The sequence below is a fragment of the Homo sapiens genome, chromosome 10 (assembly GCF_000001405.40).
Source record: "Homo sapiens chromosome 10, GRCh38.p14 Primary Assembly".
In the NCBI taxonomy this organism is placed as follows: Eukaryota; Metazoa; Chordata; class Mammalia; order Primates; family Hominidae; genus Homo; species Homo sapiens.
Genome location: NC_000010.11, coordinates 17,818,916 through 17,843,516, shown reverse-complemented (window position 1 = coordinate 17,843,516; position 24,601 = coordinate 17,818,916). Strand labels below are relative to the sequence as shown.

The window sequence follows — 24,601 nt, the reverse complement described above, 5'->3', positions numbered from 1 at the left end:
TTTTTGTATTTTTAGTATAGACGGGGTTTCACCATCTTGACCAGGCTGGTCTTGAACTCCTGACCTCGGGATCCACCCGCCTCAGCCTCCCAAAGTGCTGGTATTACAGGCGTGAGCCACTGCACCTGGCCAAAGTTATCTTAAAGTTAGTAATAAGCATAAAGTTATCATAAAGTTAGTAATAAGCATAAAGGTATCTTAAACATTTGCTGATACTGTAACTAAAATAACAGGATAACTGAACTAACAGATAAGGTATCAGCACTAAAAAGAAACTTTCAAACAAATACATTTCTAGCTCTAAGTTATTAATTGATGTGCTAATTAGTAAATCATATTACACATTTATTTATCAATACAATACCTCTCTCAACTTTGAGACATCAACTAGTGGTTTTGATGTTTACCATAGTTATTATATATTTGAATTCACACTTGTACATCATTTATGCAAAACATCCTCACTTCAAAAGTGAATATATTTTAATATTTTCATTACTTGGTAATTATTCAATTGAATGCTTGACTGAACAAATATGAAACCGATTTTTAATTTCCACAAGATCTCTAATTTTAGTTGGAAGAAACTCTCATACTATTTCGCAAGGTGATTTAATCTTGCACCTACTTCTTAGGAATTGAAGTTTAATTTTAGAAAGCATTTGCTTCCCTTTCTTAATCATATTCCACTTTCATTCTTTACTCCACCCAAAGTTAACCCGGAAGTTTTCTCCCTGAACTCGTAGGATGCAAGCGGTTAAATATAATCATCACCCCCAAGTGAATAAATTAAATGACTGCCTAATATGTATAAAAATTTAGCAACACAAAGAAGAATAAATTCTAGTCCCCTAATAAGTTTTATTGTCTAATAATCTGATTGAGGCCAACTAGTATTCTCTAATTGCATCTGGCTGAATAGGTAGACAGACACCTAAATTTTCACGCACAAAAAAGGATATTTTATATGTATTCCCTTGCAGTAAGTCTTCCCATATTCCAGAAATTTTTACCTTCCATGTTCCAGAAAAAAATAGAACTGATTATTGGCTCAAGACTTGAGTGACAGCACTGTAACCATCATATGTTGAAGTAACGCTTTGAAACTGGAATTTCAGAGTAAAATCTAATTTATTTAAGCCAAAATATATTCTCTAAAAATTTTCTCGTGTTTTAGCATCTATTTGAAATATTATTTTATTGAAGTTTTTCTTCTTTTAATACAATAAACCAATATAGAAAATGGAGATTTTCGCCAGGCGCAGTGGCTCACGCCTGTAATCCCAGCACTCTGGGAGGTTGAGGCAGGCCACATCACTTGAGTTCAGAAGTTCGAGACTGGCCTGGCCAATGTGGGGAAATCCCATCACTACAAAAAATTAAAAAATTAGCCAGGCATGGTGGTGCATGCTTGTAATCCCAGCCTCTTAGGAGGCTGAGGCACAAGAATGACTTGAGCCAGGAAGGCTGAGGTTGCAGTGAGCTGAGACTGCGCCACTGCACTCCAGCCTGGGCAACAGAGTGAGACCCTGTCTCAAAAACAAAAACAAACAAACAAACAAAAATGGAGAGTTTAGTTTTCTAAGCCAAATGCGAAAACCACTCAATGGCTTTAAAAGAGAAGTCTGACTGTCTGAAGAACACCGTATTATAATGGTATGGCCCATAGGAGATTTGATAAGATGTGACCAATATGATACTTCTCTCCTTTCCCACACCCACGGCAGACGTCACTAATCATTAATTGCACTCTTTCCTAAAAAAAAAAAAAAAAAATGGCACTGGGGTGGGATTGAGGGGTGGGGATTGAATTTATACCCAATAGAAGGCCTCAAGTGGCTACTAACGCCAGTTGGTACTGGTGAATAAGAAAAACTTTATATCATTTTTTTGTTTTCTCTAAATAGTTGCTCAATATGTAAACTTATTTTATATTCTGTTACTTTCATGTTATGACAATGTAGAAATAATTAGTTCACAGCATTTTCTATCCTCTAAAAAAATTAGAAAGCTGTTGTAGGTTTTATCATCCCCAACTCTGTTTTTCTATAAACTACTGTTGAGAAACCTCTAATGAATTTTTATGCTAGTATGGAATATCATAAGCTGTAACTGAGATAGTATTTTTAAGCCGATGTTATTAAATCAAAAACAGGAAAAGTGGGTGTTAATGTAGATGTTAAAATCACTGTCACAAGGACAGCAATATTGCAAATACCTCATGACTCAAGGTACAGTCATAAAAAATCTCTCCAACCCAAAATAATTTCAATCCACTTGTCAAACTTTACAAAGAGATGTTGGCTAATCCTCTCAAGGATGTTGACAAAGTCAATGCAACAGCAAGTATATAGTAACAATGCAAGTAGCATATTTAGTAAATCATGTTTAAGAGTAGCCACAACATCTGCTTTTGAATATAGTACCCAACACATCAGGGATACTCTGAGAACTGAAACTTTAAACAGAGACCTTTATTGTTTTGTGTGAGAATCCTGGCAGACAAATCCCTATCCCAGGAAGCTGGTATAACCTTACAATTCAGTAAATGGAAATCTAGCATAGATTTCAAAACAAGGTGAAATGAACTGTATTTGATGAAGTCTCCCAATTCTTCTCTTTGAGATCAACAGGTGAGATAATAAACGTCTTCGGGGCGTCTAGATGACTTAAATTTGGATTAATTCGACACAAACAGGCTTAACCCTACCTGGTAACCAGTTCAAATATCGGAAAGGACTGCGGTCACTCCACTGCCAACCGCTGTTGAAGCTCAGACTGTTAAGTCCAATCCAGAGTCCTGAGGTCAAGGAACTGGTTAATCCTATATTTTTAAAGAAAGCAAAACAAACAAACAAGAACTTGGCATTCAGAAAACAGTTGAAATTAAATTCAGAACTAAGTGCTTGAATCAAAATGTCACTGAGGGAAGTAACAATAATCATGCCTACCATGTCTCCTTTGATTCTCCTGACAACCTAAGGCAAGTAAAATTATTACCTTCACTGATAGGTGGGGAAACGGAGGCAGAGGCAGCATAGGTAATCTGGTAAGATTTTTAAAGTTCCAACCCAGATCTAATGAGGCTTCAAACCCCATCATCTTGACTATTATCTACTTTCTCAAGGATAGTGTAAAGTCTTCTTGTGTGAATATGAATAGGTGTTACCTCCACTGCATATTTCAAACCTTATTCTAAGAATTTTATTTTATCATTTTTTAAAGTCAATTTCTCTTCTTCGTTAACATGATGATTAAATACTAATCACTAAGTGCTTATGCTAACACCAAGGATGCTTTGCTTAAGCAGTGAAGAAATCAAAAATACAATGTTTCCAATTCTGTTCTAGGACTGATGTGGAAGTCATAAAACCAGAAACAACACGGACCTCAGCTCTTCAGCGGTAAACACTCTAACCTATTATTACCGCTCTTTTTTTTTTTTTTTTTTGAGTTGGAGTCTTGCACTGTCGCCCAGGCTGGAGTTCAGTGGCTCAATCTCCACTCACTGCAACCTCCTCCTCTCGGGTTCAAGCGATTCTCCTGCCTCAGCCTCTCGAGTAGCTGGGATTACAGGTGACCGCCACCACGCCTGGCTAATTTTTTTTTTTTGTATTTTTAGGAGGGATGACATTTCACTATGTTGGCCAGGCTGGTCTCAAACTCCTGACCTCAGGTGATCCGCCCACCTCAGACTCCCAATATGCTGGGATTACAGGCGTGAGCCACCATACCCTGCCACCTCTATCTTTTTTGAAACCATCAATGAGAATTCTCTGTTCTGAGTTATTTTAATTGATCAAAAGCAATTAATTAAAATAAAAACTATCCTTTGGCTTTTAAAAACATTTTTTAAATTTATTTTTATTTTTTAGAGATGGAGTCTCACTATGGTGCTCAGGTTGCTCTCCAACTCCTGGGTCCAAGCGTTCCTCCTACCTCAGTCTCCTAAATAGCTGGGACTACAGGGTACACACCACTGTACTCAACAACCTTCAAAAAAATTCTTTAAAAGAATTTTCACAAATTCTTTAAAGTTGTACTAACTTAAATATAATTATCTTTCTACTTGCACAGACGTATTCTACAGGACATGCTCCTAAAAGTAGCATTTTAATACTAGCTATTCCCAAAACCAATTTACTCAGGGATTTTAAAAAACTTAATTACGAAAATAAGTGTATTTAAGTTTTAAAAATTATAAATAATTCGCTGATTAAAGAAGAACTGAAGTAGATATTGAGACTGCGTAACTAAATTACTATGTTTGGCATCATGAGAAATGATAATAGCTCTTTAAGAGAATTACCTTTTGACATCTTTTACCAGCTCTAAGTACTTATAAACTTGTCTTGAAGAACTGAATTAGTTAATACTTTTTAAAACAAGGCCTGACATATGGTATATGCCCCATAAATATAAGTTACTACTGTTATTATTACCATTATTATTATTATTATCAATAGCTTCATATTAAGGTTGGCAAAGGTGTGACTTAGAAGCAAAATTCAAATCTTGGGTTAAAATATATCTCTTAAAGCAGATGGGTGTTGTCCACAAATAATTTTCTCTAATATGCTTTTGTAATTTTATAAAAGAGCAGACCAAAATATTTTAGTATTGCTGCACAAAGCAACAATTCCACATGCTAAATTTTTGTTGTTTGTTTTGTTTCCAGACACCAACTCAAACCAGAAATTTTTTTTGTACAGTTGGGGTCTTACTGTAGTGCCCAGGCTGATCTCGAACTCCTGAACTCTAACAATCCTCCCACCTCAGCCTCCCAAGGCTCTGGGGTTACAGGCGTGAGCCACTGCGCCCAGCCTCACATGCTCAAGGCGTAACTTTTCTGCATATATTGTCTGAAATGGTTATATACCAACTTTTGAACTTAGATGTAATAGAAGATACACAAATGTCCAATATTACACTGTTTTTTTTACTTTCTTTTTTTTTTTTTAATTGAGGTCCAATGTGTTTTTCAGGCAGTACCAAAGGAAACTGGTAAAAACCATCGGGGAAACAAGCCAAATTTCACTTCCTATATCTTATTTCAGTTCTGTAAATCCTCATCCTGCACATACGGAGCCACAAATCTGATTCAGGACTCAGAGACTCCATAGAGCGTCCCAACATTTTTCGGGGTAGAAACAGAAGGGAAGACGATAAAACAGCTGTGGGTAGTGTGCAAACGTGTTGCCAGGCAGAAACATTTCACCTGGCAGATAATATGAAATCAGATCACCACCAATCTGGAACACATTTACTGGAGCCAGGAAATGTTGACAAAATTAAGGGTTCTCATCAGTGCTTTGGGAACCAGCGGATCCCCGGGTGTTCTGTGCGTGAGACACAGGCAGGGTGAAATGGAAGACAGGGCTGAATTCCAGTTCAGCTGTTTTCTAAACAGGAGGCATTAAGCAAGTTTCCTAACTTCTCCCTCCTAGTCTGTTATCTCATCTATACAGTGGGGCTAATAATATTTATTCATGAGGTTGCTGTGGGCTTTAGAACTAAAGCCCAGAAACTAGTATGTAGTAGCTCTTCAGTAATTGGCAGACAATTTAATTAGAGTCATCAAACCAGGTTCTACATTTTTAAAAAATGATACTGACTGGCCGAGCATGGTGGCTCACGCCTGTAATCCCAGCACTTTGGTAGGCTGAGGCTGGTAGATCAGCTGAGCTCAGGAGTTCAAAACCATCCTGGGCAACATGGTGAAACCCTGTGTCTACTAAAATACAAAAAATTAGCCAGGCTTGGTGGCACATGCCTGTAGCCCCAGCTACTCAGGAGGCTGAGGCACGAGAATCACTTAAGTCCTAGTGCCACTGCACTCCAGCCCGGGCGACAGAGTGAGACTTTGTCTCAAAAAAAATAATAATAATAAATAAAATAAAATAAAATAAAATAAAAAGATACAGACTTTTCAAAACCCTCACATAAAAGAAAACTTATTTTAAAAGTGTAAATATTTTGTAGGTTGTTTTTTCATTTTAATGGCATATTTTCCAAAATAGAGTGGATTGCAATTACACACTCACACCACTGTTTTCTGGATTATTCCCCAATATATCTCAATCAACACTGAGTATCATCCCTTTCTTTCAAATAAACAGTGGGGAGGGAATATCTTTCCCCTATTTTTTAAATTCCCTGTCAGAGTTTTTCTTGTCCTAATGCCTGACATTTTTTACTTAAAGAAAGGCAGGAAGTACTACAAATCTCGTTAGAGATGCCATTCTTATCCAGATGCCAGTGAAAATTTGCTGACTGAAATTCCGGAGGCTTGGATAAGATTCAAGTAAGTATCTGAGGTGAACCCAGCCTCTGGATCTCCTGGGGCTTGTTTGCTGTCCTGATAGACACAAGAAAAGCCCTTGCTGATTAGGGAAGCATTTCCTGCAGCTCGAGTCCGATAGCAGAGTCCGGGAACCAGGAAATGAGTCTGTGCTTGGGCAAAGCCGCTGTCCGCTCAGATCACTTGCTCCTTCTCTGTAGCTGGTGGAGAGCGCACAAAGTAACCTGTGCTCTGTCCCCAGGCTTCCAAGAGATAACACACCCCACAAATAAATTCAAACACAAAAACCAAAAACACATCAACTGAAACCATTTCACCTCTGCACCTCTGATATATTTTCTTTCCTTTTTTTTTAAATTTTTATTTATTTATTTATTTTTGAGACGAGTTTCACTCTTGTTGCCCAGGCTGGAGTGCAATGGTGCGATCTCGACTCACTGCAACCTCCACCTCCCAGGTTCAAGCCATTCTCCTACCTCAGCCTCCCGAGTAGCTGGGAATACAGGAGCCTGCCACCGTGCCCAGCTAATTTTTTGTATTTTTAGTAGAGATGGGATTTCACCATGTTGGCCAAGCAGGTCTCAAACTCCTGACCTCAGGTGATCCACCCACCTCGGCCTCCCAAAGTGATGGGAATACAAGGGTGAGCCACTGTGCCCAGACCACCTCTGATACATTTTCTCTCGTGCCTGCAAGTCTGCCCAAATAACCACAAGACTGCCTCGAATCATCTTTTCTATTCCTTAATCATCTACATAAATTTACTTTTGTCTATTCTGTACTTTCTCCTCTTCCTCCTTATTTTTGTGCATGGTTGTAAATATGAATCACTCTGATCCTTTCTGTTCCACTATTAGAAGGGTCCCAAAGGCTAATGCAAAACAGAATAATTGAGCAGACAGAGGAAGAACCCTATCTCTAAGACTATGAATCCACAGTGACATCATATTGCTTTTCTATCCTCGGTCTCCTTAATAATAACTTATAGGAGAGATGTGTTCTGGTTGGTGACGGGTGTCATCTGAAAATAGCTGGAAAAAGGTAGGTGCTAAGAAATGAGGCAAGGTAGGGAGTGTGCTCTTGCCCTTGTATTGGCTCACACACATTAGCTCTTTTAACAGACAAGGTCACCAAAGCACAGGTGCCTCAGCAAATCCCCACAAGCTCCCCCAGTTTCACAGAGCTGGGACCTAGGCAGTCTGGCTGCAGAATCTTTGCTCTCAGCCTCTCTGCTCTGCTGCCTGGTGTTAGCACCTGGATACAGCAGGAACTAACACAGTGTTTTGCCAGATATGGTCTTTCAACCAGCTGCCCCAGAATCACCCAGGAGTTTGACAAAAGGCAGATTCTTGTGCCCTGTGTCACACCTACTGATCTAGAGTCTTCGGGATCTCAGCCCAGGCATCATCACTTTAACAGAATTCCAAGGTGATGAATAAGCCACTTCACACAGAAGAACCACTGCATTTACTGTCTTCTTGCCATGACTGTCTAGTTTTCCAAACAGGAGACTGAATTTCTAAGTATTTTTATTTTGTTGCATGTTAACATGTCAGTCAGCAAATGTTTGGTGAGACCCTTCCTTGGAAGGCTCTGTGTGAACCTCCTTGGGGGAAGAGGGGTCATAAATATTCACAAGACATTCCCCGTTTTCAGCTATTTCCCCCTCTGACGCGATCTCCACATGGCCTTCAGTTTGCTTTCCATGCAGGACTTATTATAATTGGTACCTATTCATTTGTTTGTTTTCTTGTTTACATCTGTTTCTTCCCATTGGACTTTTAAGCTGCATGTGGACAAGACAGGGTCAGCTTTGATGTCCCCAGGACCTAGCACAAAGCCTGGCACATGGGTACAAGATATCTTGGGAATGAATGAATAAGTAAATAAATAATAACAAATTAATGTATTTATAGTGTTGTCAAGGAAGCAGGACATATGTGTAAGTAGCTATTATACTAATAAAAGTGGTAATAAGCAAATAAGAGAAATGCAGATGGAAATAGAATTGCATTTCAACTGTACACAATCGTGAGAATTCCAGGCAAAAGAAATGACATGGGAAAAGATGTGAGGGTGAGAATGGATGAGGAAAAACAAGGAATCCAAGACTGACTTTTCTTTTGTTGTGACCGCAAAATGCAAGACCGGGAATAGTACAGATGTTCAGCAGGTGGCAATCTTGAATGTCAGGCAAAATGTATTTTGTTAATTATTTGATGGGAAATGAGAAGCCACAAGGGGTTTTTTGAACATGGCAGTCATAGGAGCAGAGACAGACTAATATTAATATAGCCGTGTCCAGAAAAACTGGAGGGAGGAGATTTTGGGGGCAAGAAATCGGGGATGCTTTTGCTCCCACACTAATTTCTGATCCTAATCTCTCTGTTTCCCCAAGTGTATATTTTAGAAGCTAAAACGGATACTCTCTTCTCAAGCAAACTTTAGCCCTTTTAGTCTTCACAATCTAATAAAAACAGATATTTTAAAAACAAACACATTGGCCAGGCACGGTGGCTCACGCCTGTAATCCCAGCACTTTGGGAGGCCAAGGCAGGTGGATCACCTGAGGCCAGGAGTTCATGACCAGCCTGTCCAACCTAGTGAAACCCCGTCTCTACTAAAAATACAAAAAATTAGCTGGGCATGGTGGCAAGCACCTGTAATCCCAGCTACGTGGGAGGCTGAGGCAGGAGAATCATGTGAACCCGGGAGGTGGAGGTTACAGTGAGCTGAGATTGCGTCATTGCACTCCAGTCTGGGCTACAAGAGGGAAACTCCGTCTCAAAACAAAACAAAACAACACAACACAAAACAAAACAACATCAAAACCAAACACATTGTGGAAAGAGTATCAATAAAACCTGAAAACTGGTAGAGCCTGGGGGTTCGAGGGACAGGAGGCTAAAAGAACTCAGGGTTTCAGGGTTTCAAAACAGCCTCTGACTTGTCTCTGCCAGTGGTAGCAGTCTTTTAATTTATCATTTTGACCTCTATGAGGCTAATGAAAGACCTGTGGCTTCAGGTTAGACCTGGATGATGGATACTTGACCAGGATTGTTCCACTGCCTTGCGTCCAAGAACGACATCATTAATCGATTGTGGCATCTTTTACTCTGATTCTAGATTAGCCCTCAGAATCCTTCTTAGCACTGGCTCTAGAGACTCTTAAAACCAATAGTTGGCACAGGAAATGAGAGCTATTTGCCATCCCTGGTGTCATTTTCAGAGTACAGATTTGTCATGACATCCACATAAACTGCTTAAGAATTGCTTCTGTCATAACATCTATAAACACTTGTGCTGTTGACTTCTAAGTTAAATTATATAAAAATAAAGCAGTCATGATTTTACTTGAGACTTTTCATGTCCTTACCTGTCAGGTATGTTTGCTCATGAATCTCTGTGATGCTCAGGAGCTCAGCGTTCTGTTGTTGGCAGCTTTTCCTCGCCTGGTGCCACGTTAAAGCGGATTTGGAGTTTATCTGGTAGGAAACGCTGGTCAGCGGGTCTTTATTCCATAAGCTTTCACTGCCCTCAACTGTGAAAGAAATCAGATGGAATTTGGTTCATTATGCATAGAAAACACTTCCAGTGAATAGTATTATTTAAACCACCTAGGAGCATTTTTGCCTGAAGCACTTTCTTTCTTTCCTTTCTTTTTTTCCCCCTTTCTACTTTTTTTTTTTTTTTTTGAGACAGAGTCTTGCTCTGTTGCCCAGGCTGGAGTGCAGTGCTGTGATTCTGGCTCACTGTACTCTCCAACTCTTGAGGTTAAACAATCTTCCCACCTCAGTTTACCGAGTAGCTGGGACTCCAGGCATGCACCACCATGCCTGGCTAACTTTTTAACTTTTTGCAGAAATGTAGTCTCTCTATGTGGCCCAGGCTAGTCTAAAACTCCTGTTCTCAAGCCATTCTCCTGCCTCAGCTTCCCAAAGTGCTGGGATTACAAAGGTGAGCTACTATGCCCGGACTGTTTTACTTGTTTTTAAGATGACTTTGAGATTTTCTTTACTCCTGAAATGAAATAGGAAGTAGGGGATGAGGTTTCAAAGGATCAGCTACATCCAGTCTTTTCCACATGCCTAAAGAAAGAAAGGCAGGCACGATTTCCCTTTCGGGATCAATTGAGTTGGGAAGTGAGACAAATATAAAGACAATAGACCTTGGATACTACAAAAGGTGGGAGGGTGGGAGGGTGAGGATTCAAAAATTATCCATTGGGTACAATGTTCACAGTTCGGGTACCCAGACTTTGCCATGATGCAATATATGCATGCAAGACATCTGCACATATACCCCCTACATATATAAAAATAAAAATAGCCGGGCACAGCGGCTCACGCCTGTAATCCTAGCACTTTGGGAGGCCGAGGCTGGCGGATCACAAGGTCAGGAGATGGAGATCATCTTGGCTAACACAGTGAAACCCCATCTCTATTAAAAATACAAAAAAAATTAGCCGGGCGTGGTGGCGGGCGCCTGTAGTCCCAGCTACTCGGGAGGCTGAGGCAGGAGAATGGCGTGAACCCGGGAGGCGGAGCTTGCAGTGAGCCGAGATCGCGTCACTGCACTCCAGCCTGGGCGACAGAGCGAGACTCCGTCTCAAAAACTAAATAAATAAAAATAAAACTTTTTTTGTTTGTTTTGTTTTGTTTGAGACAGAGTCTCGCTCTGTCGCCCAGGCTGGAGTGCAGTGGTGCAATCTCGGCTCACTGCAAGCTCCGCCTCCCGGGTTCACGCCATTCTCCTGCCTCAGCCTCCCCAGCAGCTGGGACGACAGGCACACGCCGCCACGCCCGGCTAATTTTTGTATTTTTAGTAGAGACGGGGTTTCAAGGTGTTAGCCAGGATGGTCTCGATCTCCTGACCTTGTGATCCACCCGCCTCGGCTTCCCAAAGTGAATAAAACATGTTTTAAAAGAACGGATACCAGCCCAAATTCCTTGATCTAGTAAAGTAAGGCAGGGGAAGCAAAGAAAATAAACGTACATCTTCTCAGCAGGTGGATATTTTGCCTTTGCCTGCACATTCTAGTTTGGTCTTTCTGGAAGCATAAGATTGTCAGCAGGGAAGGTCACGGACTCCTGCAGACAGACTGGCCTGGGCCTGCACCTGAGGTCCTATCGCTCACTGGAGACTTGACTTCAGATAAATTATTAACTTTTGAAGTCTCGTTTTCTCATTGCTAGAATATATTTAATACAGGTGGAGCGCTTAGCAATAGCAAATGTTGCTTGTAACTTTTTCATTCCACAGAGTAAAAAATCACAAGCTGATTTCTTCCTTTGCTATTTTATGATTCCTAATAAATTCCATAAACCTGGTTGTACTCTGTAAGCGGCCAATGATATACAAATAAATATTATTGATAGTTTTTCACATATATGATGTTTGCGAAGCTAGTAAACAAATGAAATATTTTGGCATGCTTCATGTAGTGAATATTTCTTTTTTCTTTTTAATAATATAAAATTCTGCTTACAAGCCATGTGAAGTAATGATCTTTTCATTTATTTGTAAGGAAAAAAGGAAGTATTATATAACTTCTCTGAAAATGTTCTGAGAAATACTCAATTTACTAAGAAATTAGGCAATTTTCCATAAGCACATAGCCTACACTCTTGTAACTCTTAACTGTATCTAATTGCCCTTTATATCTGATGAGGAAGCGATCATAGACCTTTTTGTAATATGCAAACCACACACCATGATATGAAACTTGTGGTCCCATGACATATCAAAGAGGAAGAAAACATATCAAAATTTGATTCAGGCAACAGCATACAAATTTTTAAGGTGCTTTAACTACAAAATCATTATATGCTTATATAAAAATAAATTTGAATCAGTAATGCTAAATTTAAATTATAATGATCTGAGGTGTTGCAAGTTTCATGTGTATGTCGGTGAGACCATTCAAATAAGACTAATTTGGGGTATATTTGAAGATAGAGATGTTTTAAACAACTCGTTTTAGACAACTGGAGGAAGGTTTTGTTTATAATATGGTAGAAAATGCGGGCGCCATGGCTCACGACTGCAATCCCAGCACTTTGGAGTCTGAGGTGGGCGGATCACAAGGTTAGGAGTTCGCGATCAGCCTGACCAACATGGTGAAACTCCGTCTCTACTAAAAATACAAAAAAAAAAAAAATTACCCAGGTATGGTGGCACGCGCCTGTAATCCCAGCTACTCAGGAGGCTGAGGCAGGAGAATCACTTGAACCCGGGAGGCAGAGGTTGCAGTGAGCCGAGATCATGCCACTGCACTCCAGCCTCAGTGACAGAGCAAGACTCTGTCTCCAAAAATATATATATATATATAGTAGAAAATGTGAGACATAAAAAAGGGTTTTGTTGTTGTTTTTAAACCTAGGAATGGAGGCAAGTGACATAAATGACGTAAGAAGGAAATGCAATTGACCTTTCACTTAAAGAAAGTACATTTTAAACCAAGGGATTTAAACATATTTCTCAATTAATGTTTAGGTTTGCTGATTGCATACCATCTCCCCAAGGAGTTCAAATTCCCACAGTAAACCAACACAACTGATGCTGGAAGCTAAACTTGCTACAGAGAACTGAGAGAACCAAGAATTTTCCTTTACCTGTTCTCACGATACTTGAAAATAAATGTCTACATGGAAGGAAAGCATTACAATAAACAATGCAACGGACAATGGAGAGCATCTACTAAGTGTTACTAGGTTAATAACTGGTTCCTCATCCTCCTGTATAAAACCTGCCACTTTTAAGGCTGATATAAAATAAAATGCTCGTCCGGGCACGGTGGCTCACACCTGTAATCCCAACACTTTGGGAGGCCGAGGTGGGTGGATCATTTGAGGTCAGGAGTTCGAGACCAGCCTGGGCAACATGGTGAAACCCCTTCTCTACTCAAAATACAAAAACTAGCCAGGCGTGATGGTGGGTGCCTGTAATCCCAGCTACTCAGGAGGCTGAGGCAGGAGAATCACTTGAGCCTGGGAGGCAGAGGTTGTGGTGAGCCAAGATCATGCTAATGCACTCCAGTCTGGATGACAGAGTGAGACCCTGTCTCAAAAATAAATAAATAAATAAATACAATAAAAACTCTTTTGAAAAGAACACAAAATGAAACAGACTGGAAGACTATAAAGCCCTTTAAGAAAGATATTAAATGTACAAAACGTGATTTAAAATTTTAATGCATATTGAAACCAAATCAATTTATTTTCTACGATTATTTTACATTTAACAGGAAAAAATATATAATTTGACAGTGAAGGCATAAATACAAGTAATAAGACTAAAAAATTATTCCACTGAACAAACTCAAGATACGTCTCCAACACACATCCAAGGATTTCCAAGATTGTGAGTTTTCTTTGTGATTAGTAACTTACCACTTGTCCTCCACATTTCATTCAGGAAATCACACATTCATCTAACTCCTTTGTCAATTTCAAAGGATGTGGAGGATGCTATAGTTGGACCCATGAAATATATACCCTTAAGAAAGTCCATGAAACAGATTAAGAAAATATCATTCCTATTAAGTAAAGGAGAAAGACACTTTCAATCACTTGAAAACCAAGTATTGCTTTATCTTAGAAAAAAATTGCTCAATGTGTTTCAGACAAAAATACTTCGAATACAAAATTCGACATCTAAAAACCTTGAATGGAAATCAAATGTCTTTCTAAAGATTGACATAAGAGAGACAAATAGAACTACCTCAGTTAAGACCGAGGCAGCAGTGTCGCTATGAACAGAAAGCCTATGGGCTTTTGTGAGTATTCATTCGGATTGGAGAGACTGCACTCTGAAGACAATTACAATAGTATATGGGGCTCAGAAATTAAATTTACTTTTAGTGTGATAATTAGGGATTATAAATCCAGAGAGATAAATAAGTACAATTCTTAGAATTCTGGCTTTTGTTCGTCAAATTCAGGTATTTTTTAAGTTGTTCTGTTTTACAATAATGCTTGAAATAGTGTGATTACTTGTGGATTTGTGGTCTGGAAAGTTGAGTTGTGATAGTCGTGATTCTATTGTTACTCAGGTGGTGTCACAATCATCCCAGACCATATCGAATGCTCTTTGCTCTGCCCAGTCCCTTTGCAGGGCAGCAGGAGAAAGAGTTCTGGGTGATAACCAGGAAACAAGAGCTACTCTGATCTGGTCTAAAGTAGCAGGTGAGAGGTCGGGGGTAAGAAGTTTGGGAAGGGTGGAGCCAGCATCAGGAGGAGGGTGTCTGGTGATGGGGAACGTGAAGCTAAGAGGAATACTTCCTTTTCCTTTTTCCTCAGCCCCAGCTCTGCCTTCAACATGACGCCCTCCTCCACTCCACCTAAAATGTGCTTCACTATTTGCCTACAGATTTTTAAGCGTGGAAGAACACCAAGAATTCATCTGTTCTGGTGCTTTCCCACTAAGATAATGCGATACTGCTTATTTTGCATCCTTGCAATAAAACCTGAATTTTCATTTTTAAGAAACCTTGAAGCATATAAATTACCGAGTTCCATTGATTTCTAGCTGTGTGAAACTAAATGGCACCCTTCTTAATTTAAACATAAGAAGAGTATCCTGACTATCATTTTCACTGTGAAGAACACTTTTGATGACATTGACACAAAATTCAGGACCTTCACGTCTTTCTCCATCAAACCACATGCTTGTGGCTTCCTTTGAATTCTGTTTTTGATCTATGGTTTCATAAAGGTAAGGCATTTCAGAGATGAGGGAATAATAGCATGCCTACCTACCTCCCGTGTTAAGTATATACTATATTGTGTACAGGATAATTTTCGCTGAGTAACTGATAGTTGGTAAAAATAAAGAGGTCATAGTCGGGCGCGCCGGCTCATGCCTGTAAACCCAACACTTTGGGAGGCGAGGTGGGCGGATCACGAGGTTAGCAGATCGAGACCATCCTGGCTAACACAGTGAAACCCCGTCTCTACTAAAAATACAAAAAATTAGCCAGGCGTGGTGGCGGGCGCCTGTAGTCCCAGCTACTCGGGAGGCTGAGGCAGGAGAAGGGCGTGAACTCGGGAGGCGGAGCTTGCAGTGAGTGGAGATCGCACCACCACACTCCAGCCTGGGAGACACAGCGAGACTCCGTCTCAAAAAATAAATAAATAAATAAAGAGGTCACTTGATGGAGGGAATGTTGGGACCATGGGGGTACAGTCTAGTCCTCTTAGCATGATCTCAGGGAATGCTGAGACAGTAGGGGTGACTCTAGTCTTACTGGCAAAATCAAAATACACATACAAAGCCTACAGTATAAAGTCCAACATCTGTGTTCTAGTCTTCAGCCAATATAGATCATTTTCTCCATTGGAAAATGGAAATAATAACGTCTGTAAAGGGCTGTAGTAGGTACAATGAGGTCGTAAATGTGAAATAACTTTGGGGAAAAATGCTCTAGATAAATTCAAGGTCTTTCACTACATTATCAGACTAAATGTGCCCAACTTTTCTTGGTGATAAACAGTACTTACATTTCAATGGACAATATCCAAATAGCTTGTCTGTGTCATAGTCAGTAGTGGTTCCGCACCAGAGCCATCCATCCGACCGCCCAGCACTCGTGCAATCTGCGTACCACTTGTTTTCAAACTTGAACGGGAATGCACAGGTTGCTCCATTGGCATTGCCTAGTAGCGTATACATGGCTGGAAAAACATATTGACTTGAACTTGGAATGTGAGTGATATTTCTGAACATTAACTTTCCAATAAGAAGCCTACTGAAGGAATTGGTCTTACTGTTCTGATTACACTTGATGCACCCACAGAGGGATTTCTTTTTTTTTTTTTTTTTTTTTTTTTTTTTTTTTTTTTTGGGTATTTTTTTTCCTTCTCCTTCTACCCTAGTCTTTTGCTGGGTACATAGAGCTGTCTGTACTTAGCAAATAACTCTTAGTACCACTTCATTTCCACTGCGTTTTGGGACATTTTCAAACGAGACTAATTTGTTAAGTTGTACCATTTGAAAATGTTCAAATGGTACAATTCAAAGTGGTACCAATGACAGTGGAAAATGAAGTGATACTAGTTAAAGTGGTAATAATAACTCATAGTACCACTTCATTTTCCACTGTCTTTTCCTCCTTCCTCTATTGACACCAGCTTTAACTTCTGAATTTCCTCTGAAACAGTTCTTTCTCTTGATTGGAATCATGGAGCTTTGGAATCTCTAGATTAAAAAAAACCTTAAAGCTGTATAGCCCAAACACATAGTCAATAATTAAATCCCCTCCAACCACTTCTTGTCAAGCCAGCCTTCACCTGAGTTCCTCAACAATGACCATAAGGAAGGATAGACATTTTGGCATTGTTCTCTAATCCCTATCATGAAAAGAAACCACTCAAAACTGTTATATACCATCTACAATCAAGGTTTTTCTTTTCAACAAGTTAAGGCCAACAGATTGAGTGGGAAGCTCTGGGTTCAACTAGAAATGTTAATTGAAACAAACACAGAATCATTGTTGATTATGGTTTGGCTTAAGCCAAAAAGGTTAAGGAAGCTCATCTCTCCACTAAGAACCAAACAATGCACATAGCTACATTGTCCAGTATGTTTAAAGTCTCCATCTTTGTAGAGATAACAACTTTTTACATTAAAGTATTTGACCTCTTGCCACCAACTGACATTCAGAATTTATCCTAGGTAGGAATTCATTACATTTTGCAGATTCTACGACTTGAAAAAGTTCTTAGCTTGTCTCACGCTTGCAATCCCAGCGCTTTGAGAGGCCAAGGCAGGCGGATCACTAGAGGTCAGGAATTGAGATCAGCCTGGCCAAAATGGTGAAACCCTGTCTCCACTAAAAATAGAAAAACTAGCTGGGCATGGTGGCAGGCACCTGTAATCCCAACTACTCAGGAGGCTGAGGCAGGAGAATCGCTTGAACCCGGGAGGCGGAGGTTGCTGTGAGCCGAGATCACGCCACTGTACTCCAGCCTGGGTGACAGAGTGAGACTCTGCGTCAAAAAATAAATCTTAAAAAAAAAGGAAGAAAAATTTCTTAAAAGACATTTAGTCATTTTGATAATATAAAGCTTGTAAAACATGTAGCGCATAGTAAGAGCACAATAATGTGAGTTATTGACCTCTTTTCTTTTTCCTTTACTCATTGTAATTATCAAGTCCTCTTTAAATATTAGGTTTATTTTTAATGACCTCAAAATTCCTTTTTTGTCAAAAAGGTAGTTGTTAATAACTTTAAAATGCGATTCCAGCTTTAGTTCCACTAAGTTATGGGAATGGTCTCCAAATCATATATTGTATTAGGAACACGCTGTATTCAGAAATAATTGCGCCATTCTTAGTCACTGGGATGACTGTTTCTTCGTACAAAGGAAACCAGTCAAGACCACCTTGGGGTTAGTTGTACTGGTCATCATTAGCCAAGAAATGTTCAGCGCTGGATTTACAGATGCCAATGACATATAGCTTTATTTACTTATTTTATTTTTGAGACAGGATCTCACTCTGTCACACAGGCTGCAGTAGGTGGCGCAATGATGGCTCACTGCAGCCTCAATTACCTGGGCTCAAGTAATGCTCCCACCTCAGCCTCCTGAATACCTCGGACTACAGGTGAACACCACAGTACCAAGCTTATTTTTACATTTTGTTTAGGTCTCACTAGGTTGCCCAAACTGGTCTTGAACTCCCGAAATCAAGTGATCCTCTTGCCTTAGCCTCCCAAGGTGCTGGGATTACAGGCGTGAGCCACCACGCCTGCCAGCTTTATTAACTAACTCTGTTTAATAACTACTGAGCCATTCTATACACCCAACACTGATGAGGCCAAAAGAACCCCAACTACCCCACTGACACATCATGTAACTGCAGTCAATTTGTCTTCTTCTTGGAGTCTGAACTTCCAAATAACCATCAAATCCATCTAAGTCTACAATTCTGGTTCCATTCTTCTAAAATAATTCCTATTTTCAAAAAGTTCCACCATTCTACCCCTCCCCCATGTTCTCATCAGAGATACAGAGACCCTACAATACATCCTCTCGACACTGTCTTCAGTTCTAATGTGTGTTCCCAATCTCGTGGTCACTCTGCAGAGCTAGAACTGAGGAGCAGGATCATCTTAAGTGCTGGGAGATCTTTGGGGAGTATGCAAAATGTAGTCAATAGACCCTATGCCACAGAATCACCCGGGTCTTCATAGAAATCATTGAATAGATTCCTGGGGTTTTTCCCAATATGTATATTAAGAATCTAGTAGAAGGGGGAGCTTAGGATCTATATTTTTAACAAACTTTCCAAGTGATTCTTAAGCATATTAAAGTTTGAGAACTATTAGCCCAAACCCTATGTATATTTGTCTCAAAACCAATGGGGAAACAGAAAGGGTAGGGGGTGAGGGAAGCATAATATTATATTTTAAAATAAAATAAAAATCCGATTTCTTAGCGCCAATCTTCCTCAAGTTAAACTCCTCAATTAGCACAATTGTCCCACCTGTGGAATTTGACTCCGTCAAGTTTAATTCACCCTTCTCCTTCCTTGTAATTTTCTGTTGAGTTTCTCCTGAAAGGTTTTTTTTGTGTTCACTTAGCTTGCCCCTCATATCACTTCTAAACCTATATTATGTTTGAAAAATGCTTCAAAATAACTTATTTCTGAGCCCTTCTCTCACCGTACTTCAATTCCTACTCTCCCTTCTTCTGTGCCTAGATGGAAAATGGAAAGCTCACAAATTATTGCCTTATAAAGAACTAAATTGCTATGCTCAGTCTTAGCTGAGATAAGCTAGGTTCAACCAATCTTAGTAGCCCCGTAACATAGCAATTTTGGAAACAGGTTATCTCTTGTCCCCAAAAGTAGGCTCTTTCTCTGACCTTGAGGTTGTTCTAGATAACACTTCACAATAACGAAGTATCCAAACCTAAAATGTGATTATAACATCATCTGACTCAAGAGACCAGCCTTTGTAACAAGCCTTCAAGTTGTGTTGTATTTTTGTTTTGTTTTCTGTGCAGCCACCAGATAGTGAAATTTGGTCAATATAAGAAAGAACTAAATACTCTGATTTTATTTAACCTTCAAGAGGTCAAGAAACCAACTACATATAAGAGGATTCCTCCCACCGCATTGGAGGTATCACCTTCTCTGATGGCTAACTAAATAGACTGCATATTAATTTACAAGCTAATCCTAGAGATTTTATAATCTTCTGATTATTACAGTCTCTAAATACCCATAACCTGACAAAATAAATCAGTAACATTTAGAATCCCATGTCGCCAAGGGATCTGCCGAGATTTCATCTTAGGCAATCTAAATTGGGAAAGAATGTTCTATGGATCATTTTTCCAGGGATAACTTAAAGGAAAAGACATATTTGGCTAAATGTATTTATCACTACAACTTTATAATGTTAACTAGGAGGCTTTGGGTCAAAGACTACAATGAAAACGATTTTCTGAAAAATGTAGCCCATAGTTAAAAAAATAAAACCTCAGAGAAAGTTAAAAGAATGTCTTCCCATTAAGTAAAAATAGCTGAAGTATCATTCAGGACTTTTTAATCACATTTATTCACCATCATGTCCTCAGAATAGTCCTACAGAATAGTTGAAAACACAAAGATGCTGATCAATTGATATTTCTAGTACACGCCAAACAAGAACATGATGATTTTCTTGAATCAGGTTCCAACTAAGAAGACGAGAAAATTTCAACACGAAGGTGAAAATTCCAGGCATCTTACCTTCATAACCTCTGGAGCACAGATTGTCTGTGGTTCCATAGATCTTCCACCTGCTCCATAAACCCGATCCCTTGTAGAGCATAATATTCTTTTCTTGTCTGTTGCCGTAGTTAAAAAATAAATCTTCTCCTTTGATCCCCAAAAGTGTGTCATTTTTGCACTCCCATTTCTGAAATTCACTTTTTGAGTCACAGGCATAGAGAGTGATAGCAACCCAGTCCGTTTTTGATGGCACTCCCAGGCATAATTTAAATGCAACACTCATAATCTGAGATTCGGACACCCATCGGAATTTCTGTGATTCGGCATCCTGGTTGCAAGCTGCGGTTTGGACGGCACTGGGACTCACTGCATCCACGCAGCGCTTGTGATCTTCATTATAGATTAAAAATTGCCTGGTGTCTGTTTAAAAAGAAAGAAGCAGGAAAAGAAGAAGAAAGCAAGCATGGCTAAGTGGATTCATGTAACAAGGACGATCTTTTAGGTCAAAAGTTTCCAACTCTTCCATTTCCCTAAAGACTTAAGATTGCAGGAAAAGAGGTACTGATGACTGTGCCTGGGCCAGCTCTCTTCGAGGATCCCTGAAGCTGGAAGGAGAACCTGGACTGAGGGCCTGCCAAGGTACCAGCCCTCAGCTGGATGTTCTCAAAATGTCCTAGTTCACTGTGAGGAGTCTCATGCAAAGTCCCACCTTACATGCCCAAGGATTGTCCAGGAGTGGAACATACAAGGCAGAAAACAGAAAGGAATAATATCAACTGGGAAAAGAAAATTTGGGTAATACGAATACAATAAACTGTAAAATTAAATGCATGTATGTCCTAGAAAAGGTGTGTGTTTGTTTGTTGTTTTTAAAGGACAAGGTCTCACTCTGTTGCTCAGGCTGGAGTGCAGTGGTGCAATCATGGCTCACTGTAGCTTCCAACTTCTGGGCTCAAGTGATCTTCCTGCCTCAGCCTCCCAAGTAGCTGGGACTACAGGCTTGTACCACCATAACCAACTCATTTTTTATTTTTTGTAGAGATAGAGTCACTGTGTTGCCCAAGCTGGTCTTGAACTCCTGGCTTCAAGCAATCTTCCCACTTCAGCCTCTCAAAGTACTAGGATTACAAGTGGGAGCCACCTCGCCCAGACTAGAATAGGATTTTGTAGTGTGACACATCTCAACACATTTTGGTATTATTTGTTAATAATTTAATAGTGAAGTTTGCAATAAAGGAAAAATCAATGTAAGTTTTATATCATTGGAGAGAATATTTTATGAGAATAACTTTAAAAATAACATTTTTTATATTTGTAATTTGGAACTGGTGATTCAAGTAAATATGTAAGGATGGCTTATACTTAACAGCACATAGCTGCTAGCTGGCAAAACGGAACTTCCTCTTGCAAAAGAGGAAAAAAGGATCTGGTAAGCATTTTTTTTTCCTTTAATTAAATCAAAATTGAGTTCATGTAAAGCTTTCTCTTTTTTCTTTATTGTTAAGGAATAAACAAATGAAAGTAACTGAGTGCTTTGATTTTGTGACATAAACATAAATTAAACACATCTTGTGAAATTTTCCTAAATTCCATGCATTCACCTTGTTCTTTCAAAATGAGCTGGTAGTAGTGCAGATGTTTGAGGTTCTGACTAAATGAGCTCATTATTTTTAATTAAATAATTCCAGCGAAATCAAACAAAGTTAGAATCATACCACTAGTAGCGTCCTTCAGTGTTTCCAAAGCATTTTTGCAAGCTGTATTCTATATCCTGTTCTGAACACCCCAGGGAGGTTAGCACCACTTACACTCTGAGATCAGTTCTAGACCCATAAGCTTAAAGCTTATAATAAATTTTTGCCTCAAAAGATTATTTTCTCCTGACACGCTCCTCTGTATGCTCTTGTCCACACTAGTTCCAGATCTCCTGCCTCTATCCTACCTTGAAATGATCATCTCATCTTTAAAAAAAAACAAACAAAAAACAAAACCTTTATAGCAACATCCAGTCTGGTGCTTGATCAAATATCTGGGTACCAAGACCCAGCCATGTTGACACATAAAATTAACCACTGCAGTATATTTTTGGGTAAAGGTGGTAGATTTCACTATTGCCTTAGAATGCAAAAACAAGCTGAAAATCCAGGAAGATTCCTAGGTTTTTAGCTCATGGATCTTGGGGGATGATGGTGCCAAGAATGAGAAAGAGAAGTTTGGATGTTACGCATTAAATGCTGTCTTACTTAGAGTGAGTAAGACTTACTCTCGCTGCCTCTATGCCACCTGGGTTCCTAGTTCTCTGCAACTTCAAACCTCTGCCTGGGCTCCTCTGCTGGGTTACTCATTCATGCTGCTTTGATTTCTTGGAATTGGAACTCAGTAAAGCCTGGATCCAGACACCTGCCTCTGCTGGCTTCTCTGCACTTGACAACTGTTCACAGAACATGCAATACCTATCCCAATCTCCTCCTGTCTAGCTGAGCTTCCTTCCACACTTGATCTCATTTTGTAACTGCTCGTGCCCTAGTGGGACAAAATGAGTAATTTTCTACCTTGGCAATAAAATGAGAATTTTGATAATATAGGGCTTTGCTCACAATGGAACACAGGAAATAGGAAAATAAAAACGGTTTTTTAAAAAACAGTGACTATGATCATTTACTTTATGCAAAGGTAAATTATCTTCTCTAATCTCAAAATGTAATGAACTCTGAAACTTTTGCCATAGATATATGTAAACTCCACTATACTAGCCTCTAAATTTAATGTAATTTGTTTGTGTTATTCTACCTACTGTTGTTTTTTTTAAAGCTGGACTTATCTTCCACTTTTCAGATAGCTTTGCTTAGTAATACCTCATTGTTAATAATAGTAAATATATCTTCCACCTTATACTTTGGCCATTTTCACTGTATTGTCAAACAACAGTCTTATTAACTGGTCAAATTCAGTCAATTAACTGATTGGCAACCAGTCTTTTAAGAGAAGGCGTTCAAAAATCTTTATGCATGAACAGTGTTCCTCCTTCAGATGTTTTTATACTTGACTTTTATATGCCTAATTTTTATCTGCAGTTCATCTTAATTTCACTCTAAGACAGCATTTAATGAGTAACATCCAAACTTCTCTTTCTAATTCTTGGCACCACCATCCCCCGAGATCTATAAGCTAAAAACCTAGGAGTCTTCCTGGATTTTCAGCTTGTTTTTGCATCCTAAGGCAATAGTGAAATCTACCATGTCTACCCAAAAATACACTGCAGTGGTTAATTTTATGTGTCAACGTGGCTGGGTCTTGGCACCCAGATATTTGATCAAGCACCAGACTGGATGTTGTTACAAAGGAATTCTTTTAAAGATGAGATGATCATTTCAATCAGCCAACTTTGAGTAAAGCAGCTCACCCTCCTCAGCGTGGGTGGGCCTCATCCAGTCAGGCGAAGATCTTAAGAGAAACAAGCTGAAGAAGAACAAAAAGGGGGAATTCCCCAAAGAATGAATTCTGCCTCTGGACTGCTTTATTTCTGTTTTTGTTTGTTCGTTTGTTTTTGAGACAGGATCTTGCTCTGTCGCCCAAGCTGGAGTGCAGTAGTGCAATCACAGCTCACTGCAGCCTTGAATTCCTAGGCTCAAGCGATCCTGCCACTTCAGCCTCCCGAGTAGCTGGGACTATAGACCTGTGCCACCATACCCAGTTAATATTTTTTATTTTTACTGGAGACAGGGGTGTCACTTTGTTGCCTAGGTTGGTCTTGAACTCCTAGGCTCAAGTGATCCTCCTGCCTCGGCCTCCCAAAGTGCTGAGATTACAGGCATGGGCCACCTCACCCAGCTCTAGACTGCTTCAGTCTCAAACTGCAATATCAACTCTCTCCTGAGTTTCCTGCATACTCCTCTACCCCTGCAGGTTTTGGACTTGCCAGCTTCCACAATTGTGTGAGCCAATTCCTTAAATAACTCTCTCTCTCTCCCTCTCTCCACCCTCTTCTCTTCCCTTTCTGTGTACACACACACACACACACACACACACACACACACACATACAACTCTGAATTCATACATATACCCTAATTCATTCTCTTTGCTCCAACTCCATTTACACCATCCCAGGCCAAGCCACCATGGTTTGGCTCTAATCTTCCTCTCTTGAAAATGGAATCATCAAAAAAGATAACACCTGATCTCCCAGTTTTCTGGGAGGAGCCGGGCCTGACTTGTCACCTGATGCCAAATTGCAAAACCTACCTAATATAATAGGTGGTCTTCACTGAGCCACCTACAAGAGTGAGATCTCTTTCTGTTTTTCCCATCTCTTTTGCAGATTGCCTGCGATGTACACCACATTCTGGTTGAATGTTCACTCAATAGTAAAATTCTTTTCTTTCTCATCTACCTTTATGGAGAGGTTTTCTGGGTGGGAAGGAGACTGGGTTTCTAACTACAAGTTCTCAACAACTTAAACCCTGCAAAAGGGAACCACTGTACCCAGGAAAAATACATCCAGCCCCTATATCATTGTTTATTAGAAAGGGAACAGTGACCTGTCTGCCCTCACCACCAACCACACCACCTTTCAGCT

The 24,601-nt window shown here is 39.7% G+C and overlaps 1 protein-coding gene across 1 annotated transcript in view; it reads right to left on the bottom strand.

Annotated features, from left to right (window-relative positions):
- The window catches only part of MRC1 (mannose receptor C-type 1), a 101,817-nt gene that overhangs the window by 67,648 nt on the left and 9,568 nt on the right, over positions 1–24,601 (bottom strand). The window contains exons 2-5 of the mRNA NM_002438.4: positions 20,042–20,443; positions 15,802–15,975; positions 9,678–9,842; positions 2,711–2,824 (exon numbers count right to left, since the gene is read on the bottom strand). Of these exons, the coding sequence (NP_002429.1) occupies positions 2,711–2,824; positions 9,678–9,842; positions 15,802–15,975; positions 20,042–20,443 (855 nt within the window). The remainder of the gene's footprint in view (positions 1–2,710; positions 2,825–9,677; positions 9,843–15,801; positions 15,976–20,041; positions 20,444–24,601) is intronic.